General features: G+C 34.7%; 1 long non-coding RNA gene across 3 annotated transcripts in view; it reads right to left on the bottom strand.

Moving 5' to 3' along the window:
- SOX2-OT (SOX2 overlapping transcript) overlaps positions 1-17,075 on the bottom strand; it is a 685,549-nt gene that overhangs the window by 169,920 nt on the left and 498,554 nt on the right. For all 3 annotated transcript variants that reach the window (NR_075091.1, NR_075092.1, NR_075093.1), the window contains one exon: positions 8,381-8,589. This is a non-coding gene — a long non-coding RNA (SOX2 overlapping transcript). The remainder of the gene's footprint in view (positions 1-8,380; positions 8,590-17,075) is intronic.

Raw genomic sequence — 17,075 nt, 5'->3', positions numbered from 1 at the left:
TGGTGGCTTACACCTATAATCCCAACACTTTGGGAGGCTGAGGCAGGAGGATACCTTGAGGCTAGTAGTTCAAGACCTAGGCAACATAGCAAGACCCTGTCTCTACAATTTTTTTTTTTTTAATTAGCAGTTGTGGTGGCATGTGCCTGTGGTCCAAGCTCTAAAATAGAAATTTAAAAAAAAATAAAAATTTTGTTGATATTGTTTCAAACTCCACTTTGAAACTAACCTTTAAAAACCATGTTTGTAAAGTTTCGGTGGTGTATCAATAAATAATAGACATAATTATCTGAAGTGGCTATTAAAATATTCCTCTTTTTCCACCCACATTTGTATGAGGTTAGTTTTTAAAAAATAGACTTCAAAATAACATATCACAATAGATGAATTGCAAAGCAGGTATGCACATTTAACTGTCTTCTGTTATACCACATATTACAGAGATTTGAAAAAACGTAAAATAATGCCACTTTTCTCAAGAAACAATTATAGTTATTTTAAAATATATAGTATTTATGTTAACATGAAATGGGTTTTTAAATTGTAATTTTAAAATAAAATGTTAACTGTTTTAGAAGTTTCTCAGTTTTAATTTTTAATATGATAACTATTGCTAAACATAACCCACATAGACAAAAGCTCTTTGAGGTCTTCAGTAATTTTAAAGATGTTTCTAAGAGTTCTAAGGCCAAAAAAATTGAGAACCACTGGTTTAAATAAATGCTTTAAATATTTACAATTAGATTTTTTTGGCTTTTTAATAATTTTATTTTTTTTAATTTTGTTACTTTAATTTCCCATAGCACGTTGGCGATGTTGAAAACAAATACAAATACAAGGATGTACTCATTTTAACATTTTATGCATGAGCACGTGTCACACCAATTTTGGGGGCAACAGTTTTGACTACAGGAACAAATCTAAGCAATCGACAAAAATAGAAGCCGGATAACTGGCTCTGACCCCTACCCCCAACGTTTAAGATATGTCAAAGGACACCTGAATTAGGTTAAAAAAATCAAGTTGATATGGGTATTTCAACAGTTTTCTGTGCTGCAAAACTGAAAATAAAACCATTTAATACACAACCCATTAATATCTGAGTTACACTGTTAGGAACTCTGTACTCGAAGATTCATAAAAAGTTGTCAGCTTTTAAAAATAAACTTTAACTTATTTAATAATCAGGTGAATTTTAAAAGAGAATTTACTCACAACTTGAATTAGATTTTTAAATTTGTTTTTTAATTGCCAATATTGTTTGGTGTACAACGTGATGTTTTGATATATGTACACATTGTGGGATGGCTAAATTAAGCGAATTAACATATGTATTACCTCACATACTTAACACTTTTTCGTGTTGTGAACACCTAAAACCTACTCTCTTAGCAGTTTTCAGTCATATAAAACACTATTCACTATAGTCACCATGTTATAAAACAGATCTTTTTAACTTATTCCTCTTCTTTAGCCAAAATTTTGCATGTTATTTTTTCTACCCTTTTTTCTTTAAGAATATCTTTTTCTTTAAGAAAAAAAAATAGACTTATTTTTTAAGCTCATGTCCAAATGAGCATAATGGGTTTTGTGTAGATCACTTCCATTTTCAGCCCCAACACTCACGTCCATGCTTGACCATGCTGCTAGCCCTAACCGTGACTATATTTCTCATCTGTAAAATGACAATAAAATAACATTAATAGTAATACCAACCTCAGTAGGGTTGTGAGGATTAAATACAATAATCCATGTCAAATTCTTGAGCACAATACCTGGCACTGAATAAGCATTTGTTGTGTTGTTACCGTTTTGTGACAGTTTCCTCCTTGATGTCATAGTAACAAAATGTTAATAATACCTTGACTATCTTTTGAAGTTTTCGGATATCCATATAAATGTCTCGGACAACATAATCCAAATGTTCTTCTACTACTGCTTCATGGAATTGTAGGTGAAACGTCTTAAGTGAAGATTTTCATTGGTCTTTTAAAATAAGGTGGGCAAAAAATCTTTCTTTCTTTTTTTTTTTTTTTTTTTTGTCTTTGGGGAGGATTCTGCTTTCTGAGCATTGGCAATGTTCAGTCTTATGATTCAGGATTATGTTTGTGTTCAGTCCTTTTTAATGAATAGATCCGGAAGAAATATTAGTACCTGCTGATGACACCTTGGCTTCAGTACAATTGAGAAAAGACGTTTGTTTAAGACATTGAATAATGTGTCTTTTGATACAAGTCAGTCAATAAGAATTTCAATATTAATCAAAATGAGGGAATGACCTCTTATGGAGAGCAGACTGTGTCACAGTATGTACTATGCAGTTACTTATAGTAATCTTCAATCTTCCTAACAAATCGAAGTATGTATAGTTATTTCAACTTTATAAATGAGGAAACTGAGTCTCAGAGAACTTTAAGTAACTTTCCTAAGATGGTGAAGAGGAAGAAATAAGAACAAATTAAATCTTTTTGGCTGACAAAAGAGGAGGTGAGAGGAATTTTCAAAGATGACAGATAAAGAACATTACAAGGGTGGAATGTAATGACATTAGTGACGTTCATTTGTTCTTTGCTAACTATAAGGCTACAAAGAAAGTGGAGAGTTTAAAGTGCCATATATAACAGATAATGGGAAGCACAGCTTGATTGTAAAAACACTATGGCTGTGCCTGTAAAATTCCAAAACAACTGTCAGTTAAGCATACTCAGTGGAAAAAGTCAAACTGTTTATTTGATGTAATGCACACAAAATAGTCACTTGGTTGGGCATAATTTCACTTTCCACTTTGAGTTTTCATTATAGTTGAACGGTCTAGAAAAAAAATGTGCTAATGTAGGTACTAACGCTACTTGGATTCTAAGAATTACTGTAAACCTAACTTTGTTTTTTTTCCCTTTCACATCCTTCAAAAGAGTAATGTATGACAATGAATTAGTACAAGTGAAAGTTGAACCATGTAAGGTGCTATTTTTTGATAATCCTATGATAATTCAGCATATATGAAGTTCAGAAATTTTATCATAAATCTCTGAATAATTACAAATCAGAACTCTGAGGAGAAATTGGATAAAAAGCTAGAATCCCCTTTCTGCACTCAAAACAGGGGCTTATAAATTTAAACATGTAGCTTAAATAATGTAATAGCAAATGTTTAAAATAGTATTAGTGAGATATCCTGCCATAGCCCCCTGTTTTTCTCAATTTTCATATTTTTATGACAAAAATTAAACATTTTTAGCGGTAAAGAAGTCATAAAAGCTGTAACAACAGGGTAACAGTCTTTTTTAAAAACGTTTATTTTAGGTTTCTGGGTACATGTGCAGATTTGTTATACAGGTAAAGTTGTGTCACAGGAGTTTGTTGTGCAGATTATTTCATCACCTAGGTATTAAGCCTCAGGTATAATTCTTAATGGTTCTTAATGGTTACTTTTAGGCACTGAGGAAATCAGATGGATTTCTAAATATCTTTTTTTAAAGAAAACAGCATACTCATTTATTCACTACTCTGACAAGCCTCCAGTTTACTAGAAAGGTACAGAATAAATACGACAAGTTCAGAGGATTTTGAAACCTTAAAACCATTTTCTAATTGTGTAAGCTACATGTTGTTTAATCATTAAAAGTGATTAAATGACAAAAAAGTTTATATAAAATAAGGTACCTAATGAAAAGCTTTTCGCATTTAGAATACCAAGACTTACCAAATTTGGAAAGATGCAATCAGAAAAATAAGAGAAATGAATCCAGAATTTCCCACATTTGAAGCACAGTGTACATGCCTTGACAGAAGAGAGGTTATATAAATAACTTAAAAACCCTAATCTGAGTCACAAGACACATGGTTTCCTTTGTGTCTCACACGGAGACTCTGTTATACCTTAGTGGAAGAATCTAAACAGTGGAACTTACATGCTTTGAATCAAAAGATCCCCAACTTTATACACTCTAAGTACACATGGTGCTTAAAAAGTCCGCAATTCATATAACTTACACTAGCCAATAATGTAAGACTTTTCTGACCTCCAAAATGCTGCTTAACAGTCAAGCTGACCTTATATTTTGAAATGTATAATGGAAAAGTGCATGTAATATTTTCAAGTCATATGGTTTTATGAATTAACTAATAAATCTTTTTTTTTTCTTTTTGTGGAATTTTTTGTCTGATTTTTTTTTCTGAGAAAATGTGTGTCTGATTGAAAATTTCACATTTAGTATTTATTCTAAGTTTCCAGACCACAGATTTTGGCATTATTATGAAACACGTTATGAGGCTTGGTACTGGCTTTATATTTAGCTTATTTCGTTGGCTTAAATAAGGACATTAGTTGTTAACAATGAAACTTAATTCATATCAGGTGAACTAGGGACTACATCTGGGACTTGTCGTAACTTGATGTTCCATGGGTTTATTTCAACAAGGAAAGGAAAAGCATTTTAAACCACAGCTCTGATTCAGAAATGATTCTGAATTCAGTTGTTCTGTAGCATCTTGGACCTTGTCCATGTATCAATTATGACACATCTCCCTCCCACATCTTGCCCTCCCAATTTGAAATAAGCACAATGTGTTTTTATCACTCTCCAAGTATTTAAATTTGCATATGGTACTTAAAAGCATTTTGTTTTTCATTTGCAAACTTCAGATTCATATTTTTCCAAATAATGTGTCTTCGTGTGAAAAATTACATGTAGAATATTCTGTTGGTAAGAGTTATTTAAATTATTTACTGGCTCTTTTTCAGTTCCCTGGAAAACACGGAGGGTGCTCTCACTATTTGTCTGGCTTGTCTGGCTTTCGCACAACTAGATTTGAAAAATCATGTTGGAATGTGAGTCCAAAGCATCAAAATTTGTGAAAGCAGAGTGTTATCCCAAAAGTGTCAAGCAGCCAAATGGTACCAATTTCAACAATGGCACTAGAGTGTTTTTCTGAAAGATAGTTTCTGTTTTAAATCCCTGGTTTTTTTTTGTCCAGCATCTATAGTTGTCCCAGAGCAGGACAAAGATCCAGCAGCACCTAAGCTTTTATCTTTTACTTTCTTTGGAAAGTCACTTGACATTCCTGCTGCATTAAAAAAAAAATTTGTTGTTTGTTTATTAGACCCATTGATCGGACATAGTTTTGGGGGGTAGATTAGTATTTTATGAAAGATTACATATGTTTAGAAAAATAATAAGTACATTTTATATTTATGTACAAACACAAATCTAAAAGATCAAAGACAAGATCTAGGTTGAATATTATTCATCATTCATTCATTCATAAATATTTATTACATATATACAAGGCAGTTGGCAGGCTTTGTGAAGAAGTATATAGATGAATCAGACACAAATCTATTTTCATTTCTTCCTATTAACATTACTGAAAAATATATAGATAGCTAAATGGGGATAAAGGAAGGAAAGAAGGAGAGAGAGAACAGGAATGATAAAAACAAATGTGGCAAAATCTTAATGATTAATAAATTTTGAAATAAGTTTATAAAGGAGTGTTTTGTATTATTCTAGATTTTCTGTATATGAGATATAATTTTACAATTAAGTTTTTGAGTGTCTGCTCTGAAAAAAAAAGTAGCTCAAATACCTAAGGAACAGACAGTTTGTGAGGTTTAGGGTCCTACTCAATTGTGGGAACTTCATCTCAAGTCTCTTTACTTCCTTACCGTTTCTGAAATCATTCTTCAAAGTTGGAGTGCACTCAATAAATGTATAAACACCGAATCCTTATTTTTTTTTCCCTTTGGAATCCCAATTTCCAGGGAGTATGTCTTTAGGTCAGACCACAAAACCATTGTAAACTGCATATACAATATACAAGAGAAAATATGGAAGGGACACTGTTGTCAGCAATTGTGTGTAAGCCTCACCAACTAAAAGGCAGTGGATTTAGACTGATGATTTCTTTTGCCATCTACTATCATTTAAAACTGTCTATCCTCACTCACAAACTGTGAGCTGTTGAAAACTGGGCTTTTATTTTTCTCATCTTTATATGTCCAGCAGAGACCCTTGCATGTAGTAAGTGTTCAATTTATGTTTGTTGGCTGCATGAGTGAATTAATATAGATTCAAAGGTTTTTGTGCCTGAGATCTTCAAATTGATTTCATTTTGTTTTTTTTTTTTTTTGCACTAACACTACACCGATCTTCATGAGTCTGAGTTAGTCCCGCCTGTAAAATTTGATCTATATGATTTTTTTTATAATAGCCTTCTTAATTAGAACTGCGGTATGCAGACTATATTTAGGATATGGTATACGAGGAGTTTGTCAAAAGGAAAGCAGACTTGAAATCTGGAGAATATTAGTGGTCAGCTAATATATTTAACATGTGGTTAAATATTTAGTACGTTTGATTGTGTCTCTTTAAAATGAAAGCCTTATATTATGTATATATTTTTGAAATGACATTTGAATAAAAATATAAAAGGCATCTAAAGAGATGATGGGCACTTCTGGACTTGGAAAACCCCTCAGGTTTGATAACAACATTTTGAGTCATCTAAATTCATACTTATTATCACTTAAGTGAGCACTGATGCTGGCACTGGATCTTATACACATATTCAGATTTTTGTTTCCCTCATCATTCTGAAGGTTATCTCCCTGGTCGCTCTGAAAATCAGGTGACAACCATTTCCCATGATGCTTTAAGGGGTGTCAAACTGTCCATCAAGCTGTCACCTGACCAGTCGTTCCCATGGTTCTTTTAGACTTCCAGTATGATAAATTGAAAGGGACTATTATCTGTCTGTTGTGAAGAGGAACTGTTTGGGCTTTGATAAGATATCACTACTCCCAGGTGAGAGGCTGCTGACAGCACATCAAGGCAAAACAACACATACAAACACTGAACAGGGGAGCACACGTTTACAAACATCTGTTGTCATTATTTATTACTTTTCTTCGGCTTTAAGTTTCTGACTCATCCTTAGATAATTCAAGAACAGATATTTTGCTTTCTTACTTGCAAAAACAGTTGCAGCTCTTTTCATCTTAGGAGAAGAACCTTAAAATTGAAAATACACCTTCCTACCTTTTTGGTTCATGGCATATATGCTTTCTATCTTGCAGCCAACAAGTTCTGTGTTCCTGCTGATGACATCATTTACTTTAAAAAAGTATCTGAGAATAAATACATGTCACTATAACAAATATGTGAATTTTAGGGATAAATATAATAAAATTAATTAATTATGCCTGAGAGGTCATTATTAATGTACCACTTTACAAGAAATATGAGCTGGTTTTAATGTTAGCTTGTATTAATTTATATTTTAGAATTGATAAGGTCAAATATTTCATGAGAAATAATGTTTGTGACTTATTTTTGCAGCTTCAATTTTTAATTGCTCTGAATTATACTAATAGAAACATAAAAACTTGAATTTGTGCACAAGGAACATGAATAGAGGGAAAGATATTGTCCTCAGTGGACCAAGGTTGTAGTTAGGATTGGAATCAGGAAACTTAACTGTAAAGGCAGGGGGAAGCTTGGGAGGCAAAAGTTTTCAGACGGAAAGCTGTCTGGAAAGTAGGTATATTTTATTAGAGCTACAGAGACAATTTTACACTTAGAATGTAACTCCTTGGACATATATATCTAAATAGGAGTCAATGGAAACTTATGTATTAAGGGCTGAATTCTTGAATCTTTACTACTTGTAAACATAATTTTACTCTTTAGCAGTTATTCTCTATTTTGTGATTTGTCCTTTTTCTCTTTTTTCTCTGCTACTCTAATGACATATGCTGACAGGTTTTCCATGTGGCTCTGTGCCCTTACATGCTATCATTATATGAACAACTAAAGATGCCCTTTGGGGATCACTTGGGGAAAGTAATCTGTTGTTATTTATTGTGTTTTTTAGCAGAATAAAAGTACTGTAGTTGGTTGCTAACATCACCACCTTGTGTACAAATATTTTTTTGCATGCAGTTTCCTAATATCATTAAGCTGTATTGTAATTTCATTACATAGTAATGTAGCACTTCGATTACAGACATTTAAATAATTTTGTAATTCAAAATTGGAAAATAATAAACCATGGTTTATTTTTAGTCCCTTGTAATTAGTTAGCCAACTAACACTCCACTGAACTCATACAAGAAGCAAAAATGCCCCAGAACCCTTATAAACTGGGCATTGGTCAAAATACTCTTTCAAACAATGATTTAGGAATTCAGAGTAAAAAAGGCAAAGAAAGAATTAAATTCCTAAAGATTCATAATAATACCAATAGTACATATGGCTAGTGCCTAGGGCATCTAATTAGTGAACCCCTAATTCTAACAAATGTAATCTCTAATTCTGGCAAATCTAACTAAGGCATTTTTAGCTCACCCAATGGGCTAATATTGGAAATTACTACTTACTTCAAAGTATGATTTTGGTCTCTATCCAAAGAGTAGAACCTCTTGATAAGTTTCTGAATGTCAAACTTCTTTTTCTAGCGGCTTCTGGCATGTCAGAGCTCCACAGCAAGTTTTATAATTTTGACAGTCCTTGGCGATCAATGAAGTTGACTGGACTCCATTACTTTTCCAAACAGAAATACCTTGCAGTCCAATGAAGGAAGTAGTGGCTAGAGGGGAAAGTACCAGAATATTCAATACGTTTGTCTTAGGTCCCAAAGGAAACAAACAAATGTGTTCCCTGTTATTCTTTCTCTCACAATAAAAATTTTAGACCATTTCTAGAAAAAAGCAATTTTGCATTTGTATTTTTGTGTTACTTCTTTCAGTTTGTCTCCCTTTTGGTAAGTGAACTTGTTTTAAAATGTTACACGTTGTTGGAAAGTAGCATGGAATGCTTCTTTTAGTTCTACGTAAAGGTAAAGTTTGATTATATGGCAAAAAATTAAAAATGCTGCTAAGGATACAAGGTAAAACATAGCAATCTAAAAGAGAGAGAGAGAGAGAGAGAGAGACAGAGTGTGTGTGTGTGTGTATGTGTGTGTGTGTGTGTGTGTGTGTGTATGCTCGATAGCAATCCTATGAGGTTGGCAGGGCAGGGTAACCAGTTTTATAGATGAGCAAATCAACGATAAGGGACATGACAGGACAATGCAAGTCATACACATGTGGTAGCACAGCCAGTAAACAACTCAGTCAGTTCAGTGTTATGTCCTCTATACTACTTTTGTCCTTAGGGACTAGTACAGTACTTTAGTAATGTGGATATTAGGAATAAAGGCCATTTTGTTAGAAGTTTCACCCATTTTTCATGGAAGTCTATCCATATAGGATTCTGTTGAAAAGTCAGCCTGGTGCCATACTGTCAAACACAGAAGTAGAAATTCACCACTTAACTCCTTATGTTCTTAACTTAGAATTAAACACACAGTCATGTGAAAGGTGTTTCATTTAGCTCTAACAATAAATGAATGTGTGCACATTTATATGCATGGTAAATATGTAGAACTTAGATATGTAATGATTTATGAAGCATAAAATGAAAATTTTTGGAAATGTACCTAAAAGGAGTAAAAATCATAGACACCTCCTTGTGGATATTATTTTAGAAAGCTTCAGGCTTTCATCCTAGTGTTATTTACTTCATACTAAACAGTCATTTCAGATGTAGGATGTTTGAAGGGGGCCAACCACTTATGATCTTCATAGGAAAAAATAAACTTGCAAAGTCTTCAGAATGTCTGGTGGATGTTTTCCCATTATGTTGAATCTACTTATGTTAAGCAATGTGACCAAACTGAATACAGCTATATGTAAAACTGAGATTCATTGAACTATTCACCTTTTTGATTGATTACTCATATATCTACAATGCCACGACAGAAATGACAATATTGCCACATTTTAATAAAGATGACTTTTGAGATTACAAAAATAGAATTAGATTATATACATTTAAAAAAATCTCATTTTGATTTTTAAATTTACACAGGAAAATAAAGAGTACTACTTCGTGGAAATTGCTGAACAATTTCTTACTTTTTCCAAAAGATTCAGAGAACAAAACAGATTTCTGTAAGTCAAAGTGCAGCCAAATGTTCTCTTTGGCAAATATTAGAACTCACTTCTACGTCTGGGACATTAGGAAAATGCACTTGAATAAAGATAAAATTGAACAAACCTATCACTACCTAGAAAAGAAAGAAGTAAACAGTGGAGTTTATCTAAGCTAACTTTATTTCCCAAACTCAAAATCATAACAATAAAGTCCTTTACATGAGCAACTTTGTGACCTGAAGGAAGAGGCTGTCTAATTTCTTTCCATGCATCAAGCCAAATAAATGAAGGGAGAAAATCATTCTCTGTTGGCCTCCTGTGTAAGATTTCTTTTCTTATCATCCCATCTAGTCATATCTTTCTGCAGTCTGAATTACCCTCTTTTCCTCAGACTGGTAAGGCAGTGAAAGGATGTTTGTTCTGCTAATTAACTTTATTACCCTGATAACTCCCTGCAGCCTTTGAGGAAAACAATTACCGTTACTCCTTTTTTCCCCCACTGGCAAAAAAAAAAAAGAAAGAAAAAAAAAGAAAAAAGAAAAAAAAAGAAAAAGAAAAAAAGACTATTAATTAGAAACGAGGCCCAGGTCCCTGCCATGTTATCCTGCCACGTTCCCAGGCCCTCGAGCAGGATAGCATTACATTGTCAGTAGTAATTTAGCTCTCATCTGTCTCTGCTAATTATTGTCACATTCATCAAATTCATCAACAAAAGTGCTCTCAGAAGGATTGCATATTTGCAGTTAATACAGCATAAACTGGTATTACCCATCACCACATTTGTGATGATGAGAGGGACACAACTTATTCATCCCTAATTAGAGCAAGCTGGGTAATTAATTATGCATTCCGCCTTATTACTTCTGAGTTCCCAGATATTGTTTGTCTAAAAAGGGGGAGAAAGCAGGAGAGAGAAGCCTGAAAATGCAAAAAAAAAGGGTGATGTGTTTTGTCACATGCGCTATGCCATAATTCCCACCTGACAAACTAGCTGAATCAGTGGAAAATTGCGAGTTGTCAGCAGCAGAATAAACTGCTGTAATAGCTGATTAATGATCAGCACCTGTGACAGGTGCTGTACGGGACTGTAAACTTGGTTTGATTAACAGTCACTGGACGAATAAATATTAGTGACAGTCAGCGGAGAGCAAGTTTGCTTGTTTTCTTCCCTGTTAACAAATCGCACGCATTAAAGTTATTGATATTTCTGTCTGAGACACTCTATTTTTTTGTAGTTATCTGGCAACATTGGCAGTGAGTTTTAATGGATCGTGTTTGTTCCCGTTCTGTTATTTTATTTCAGAACTAAATTGTATTTTGACAAGATGACCTATAGGGGTTTAAATTCACCAGGTGTGGAAGAAAGACTAAAAAATAACAGGATTCACACTTGGTTTAATTTATGCTCACCTGCTAGTAATCTGTGTGTGTATGTGTGTGTGTATACATATCCACATACATACATATATTCATTATACCCATTTACATGTATGTACAATAATTATTAAGGGATATTTATGCTAAAAACCATAGTCACAAACATATAGATATGTGATGTTCGCTTGTTTTTTAGTTTTAATTGTTTCTTTCTTCCTTCCTTGCATTGGATATTTTCCCTGGAAACGTTGGCAGTGTGAGTTATCCCAACCCCATGTCTCAATCCAGAATTGAAGGGACCATTTTCCTGAGGCAGCTATTCAAAACTGCTGCCAGCTTGATTGTTTCTACTGAATTGACCAGTTTCAAACAGATTGGTCAAGAGGTGATTAACCTGTTTGAGCTAACTGGTGATTAACCAAGAGTCGAGTTATGTGCACAGGCAAGCAAAGTGTAAGTAATGAAAGGAACCCAATTTATTTTATTTTATTTTTTAAATTTATTTTTTGTTTTTAGGTCATAGTCAAAGACGCTATTTGCCTTAACTGTGGTTCTTTTGGATTCTTGAATTATATATGGAGAGATTAAAATTGTGGATTTTTGGAATCCTAAAGACATAGATTCAAATTGTGGTCCTGCTAACTAGCTGTGAGTTTGGATAAGTTACTTAATCTGTCTGATCTTTCCATTTTTGCAGTGCAATGTGAGGGCATTTCCAACTTGTATTATGCGGTTACTGAGAAGGTTAAATGAGATAATGTATGTAAAGCACCCTAGCATGGTGCCTGGCATAGACATGGCTCAATGATTAACAATTTAATTACTATTAATACAACAGTTTGAAATTGAATAGTCAGATTATTTTCATATTCTGTTTCATATGATGAACTGCTTTAACACCAATTAAATTATTTTTTTTCTCCACAGACTCCAAAATAACAATGAAAATTAAAAAGCAAAACAAGATTACGCTCATTTGTTCCTGAGTAAAGACTAAGATTAGTAATATCCCAGGGTAGTCGATATCCCAAGGTGCTACTCTAAGCTATTCAGATACTTCTTAGAGGCACAAAAGTTGCAACTGGTCAAGCGAGGTAGACTTTTTTTTTTAAATAGAGATGCCAGGACCCACCACTAGGTACTCTGCTTCTATTCATTTTGGGGAGCCCCTTGCTCATGGGCATGTTTAAAAAGTTCCTGGGCCGGATGCGTTGGCTCATGCCTCTAATCCCAGCACTTTGGGAGGTCGAGGCAGGAAGATCACATGAGGCCAAGAGTTCAAGAACAGCCTGTCCAACACAGTGAAACCCCTTTACTAAAAATACAAAAATTAGCCGGGCATGGTGGCACAGATGTAGTCCCAGATAACTTGAGAGACTGAGGCAAGAGAACTGCTTGAACCCAGGAGGTGGAGGTTGCAGTGAGCCGAGATCACGCCACTGCACTCCACCCTGTGCTACAGAGCAAGACTGTCTTAAAAAAAAATAAAAAAAAGTTCTTCAGGTGATTATGTGTGTGTCTTCAAACTTTAGAACTGGGGATAAATACATAAAATTAGAAATTTGTGTCATGACAATAAAAAGAGTAAACATTCCTTCAGATGATAGAACTATTAATGTGAAATGGATGTCTAGAAACTTACATACATCACATATGGGAGCTTTATTGTTATCTAAACTTGTTACTTAAAGTATCATGATTGAAACACTTTTTTGTTGTTAATCCAGTTGAGGAGAAAAAGATCTAATAATTCAGTCAGTAAGAATGATATTCAGAATCTATCAGCTTACTTTATACCACTCATTAGAAGTGCAGGGTCAATTGCCTTATCTCACTGGAAAAAATAAACCCAGTGATGGTGGCCAAAATATTTCTGTGGCTGACAGATGAACTAAGCGGTGGCAGGGCTGACTGGTGATTGTGGCATGCTTCCAAGTGGATATCCTGCTGCACAAATGGTGACGGGGAGTTAAGAGACCAAATATTCCTGCCATTTGGGACATATAAACATGGATTAAAAATTAGGTAATAGGTAGTCTATGCCTGCTTCTTTCTGCACTTTGTTACCTAAACTTTGCTCATCCTTGGTGCATATGAGTCTATGGTTGTAGTAGGGTTCATTGGTATATCACTTCTTCATTGCTGCTTGTGGTCAGAGAACCCAGGTAACCACATGAAACAAAGTGGAAATTGCTTGTTTGACTAGAACATTGATATTCCAAATTATGTTACAGTTCCCAGAGAATCAGCTAATTCTCTATCAAGTTCTGCATCTATATTCCAGAATTCCTGTAGTCCTATAATGTCTTAATTTAAATGTTAAATTATTTAAAAGTATTGAATTATACTTTATCAAGTTTGATAAAAACAAAAAAGGTATTCTATCTCTGAAAATTTATTTATTTTGAGATAGGGTCTTACTCTATCACCTACTCTGGAGTGCGCTGGCATGATCACGGTTCATTGCAGACTCGATCTCCCAGGCTCAGGTGATCCTCCCAGCTCAGCCTCTTAAGTAGCTGGGACTACAGGCTTGCACCATCACACCTTTTTTTTTTTTTCCGTTTTAGTAGAGATGAGGTATCACTGTGTTGCCCAGGCTAGTCTCGAACTGAGCTCAAGCAATCCTCCTGCCTCAGTTTCCCAAAGTGCTGCAATTATAAGTGTGAGCCATCGCACCCAGCCCATCTCTGGAAATTTAAAGAGGAAAAGTCTCACTTGGCACATGGGAATTGGGGATGGGTCAATAGGGAATGCCTGACTTCATAGGATGACTTGATCCTAATGGAGTTTTCTCTGGTCCAGAGCAAAGCATGGGCAAACTATTACCAGTAGGATAATCTGGCTTGCCCTCTATTGTTGTAAGGCCTTGCAAGTTAAGAAAGGTTTTTAAGTGGTTAAAAAAATAAAAATATTTTGCAATATAAATATTATATGAAATTCAAGTTTCAGTGTCCATATAGAGTTGTATTGGGACATAGCCATGCTCATTGGTTTCCATATTGTCTGTGGCTGCTTTTGTACTAAAACGGCAGAGTTAAGTAGTTGCAACAAAGACCATATATTCTACAAAACCTAAAATATTTACTATTCGGTCTTCTCCAGAAAAATTTTGCTTGTTCCTGCTCGAGAGTAGTGTTTCTCAAATTTTAGAAATACCCGGGACAAATGCATACAAATTGTCTGGGATCTTGTTAGACAATAAATTCTTGATTTAGTAGGTCTATTCTGCATTTCCAACAGGCTACCTACTGATACTGATGCTGCTGGCCTGAGGACCATACTTTGAGAAGCAAGGTGTTAAACTGTGACCCTCATCATAAACACGCAGAAGCCTAATGTTAGCCTGCTCAAGAACAGATCTTTTAGGAATGAACTCATATTAATTAAGTGCACAAGGTTGATGCAGAAGCCTAAAAATCTAATTTATTAACCTGTCAATGAGAAATACGATAGGAATATTCTGTTCCTATAGACATGGCACTTGGTATGCTGAATTAGAGCAGAAGATTATTTTATCTCGCTCTCTCACCCAGGCTGGAGTGCAATGGCAAAAATGCAATTCACTGCAACTTTCGCCTCCTGGGTTTAAGCAATTCTCCTGCCTCAGCCTCCCAAGTAGCTGGGATTACAGGCATGCACCACCACGCTCGGCTAATTTTGTATTTTTAGTAGCGATGGAGTTTCACCACGTTGGTCAGGCTGGTCTTGAACCCCTGACCTTAGGTGATCCACCCGCCTTGGCCTCCCAAAGTGCTGGGATTACAGGCATGAGCCTCCCAGCCCTCTATAAGTCATTTTTGAGTGATCTTTCTAGGAGTCCTGCTCTAGCCACTCTAGCCAAAGAGAAATGTCTGTGATTGCAGGAACTCTATTCCATTTCTCATTTACATCACATAGTGATTCCCTAGTCATGGGAATTATTTACTGTTCATTATTATTCCATGAAATTATGCCATGGCATTTTAAAAGATTTTCCTGCAAATTTCATTTTAAGTATGTCTTAATTCTAAAATCAAGAGGAGTAACATTGAGAGAACTGGATCTGTGTCCTAGTATTAATCACTGTGAGACCATGACCAAATAAGTGTCCTCATCAATAAAATGTAGAGGAGAGATTCAGAATTACATGATTCCCATGGACCCTTCCAGTTTTAGAACACTAATTTCAACTAAAATTTTTCCAGAAGATACACATAAAAATGGAGTTCATTTCCTTATTGCCACATTCCTGGTATGTGCTGCAATGTACTTTGGACCTCCATTGACTTTTATGTCTTTTTTTCTGATGTTCTTGTTACTTGTTGACAAGTCTGTTCTCAGTTTTCTTCATTAAAAAAGAACACTTTAAGGCAGACATCTTATTCAATTTTGCATCCCCCAGCATTTTACATAAAGGGACCATCCAAGAGATGTTAGTTGAATTGAATTAGTGTAGAAATATCCTCAAAACAAATAAGTTTGGGATAGTAGAACCTTAAAAGGCTAAGAGGTTGTAACCTTGCACAGTAAAGGATTTTGACAAGCCAGTTGATTGGATGTTTGGCAACTCTTGGTACCATATTGCATTAACTATATTCTATAAAATTATAAAATGATTATTCCTTTGGAAACGTTGAAAGAGTAGCTTGACTTTGCATTTCTTAATGGTTCAGTATATTGCTGATTAAAGTAACTTCTGATAATTCTATAATTAGATTCTATCTAAAGGATCAAGAAAAATGCACTGAGATTAGAATTTTAACATTATTCATAGCTTGTGGAAAGGAAAATGTCCTGTCTGGAATAAAGTCAATGTCATGTCTATATATGCTTTGTTGGGTTTAAGAAAAATCTTTAAAAATATTTTTTCTCCCCTTAATACATTTCCATTTATGTGCAATGTTTTTGATCAGAAAACTAAAAAGTAGCAGCGGGTGGGAATGAAGGGAGCCAAATATAGAATTGGTGCCAACAGATGCAAAAATGCCATGGAAATCTTTGGCCCAGAAATAATAGCTTACCAAAATACACACACACACAGTTGTTGGACTCTTGAACAGATACACAGCCGTCTGTATAGACAACAGTGCTGTTGGCCAAGAGTCCCGGAGGCAGGCCAACCTCCTATCCAGATGCCACTGCCAGTGAGGAAGCATTTGGCTTCTAGTCCTCTGGCTGCCAACCTTCTCTCCCACTCTCTGGCATGAATTTTTACAGGGGCTGCTGAAGTGAATTAAGACTCTGAAGAGTTCTGTATTAATATGCTGCAACAACACAGAACACAGTGCCACAGAAGCCCTTTATGCTATTTGAATGTTTTTACCCATTATTATTTTTTTAATTGTCAAAGAAACCTGACTTCTAGGTATTTGCCTACAGATAAATGCAATTGCTTTGGAAATTAAGAGTGATACATTTTGATTTCTGCATGGAGTCAACTTTCCTCAACCCAGAAATACCTTGAGAGTATTTAAAATAAAAAAGGTAAAAAGGAAAGAGAATAACAGATAACAAAAGACCAAGAAATAAAATATATTGGTATTTTTGGGACACTGAAAGACAGGATTCATATTTCTTCAGCCCTAGCAAAAGCGCCCACTGAAAAATCTCCTTCTGGTCAGAAGAATGCAATAAGAACACATTTTTTTCAGTGACAATTGAATAAGTACCAATATACATCCATGATTGTTTGCATGCAGCACTAACTTCCAAGAAAAAAAAATTAACATGGCACTATCTC

Source organism: Homo sapiens, chromosome 3, assembly GCF_000001405.40.
Source record: "Homo sapiens chromosome 3, GRCh38.p14 Primary Assembly".
In the NCBI taxonomy this organism is placed as follows: Eukaryota; Metazoa; Chordata; class Mammalia; order Primates; family Hominidae; genus Homo; species Homo sapiens.
This window is presented reverse-complemented; position numbering and strand designations above follow the sequence as displayed.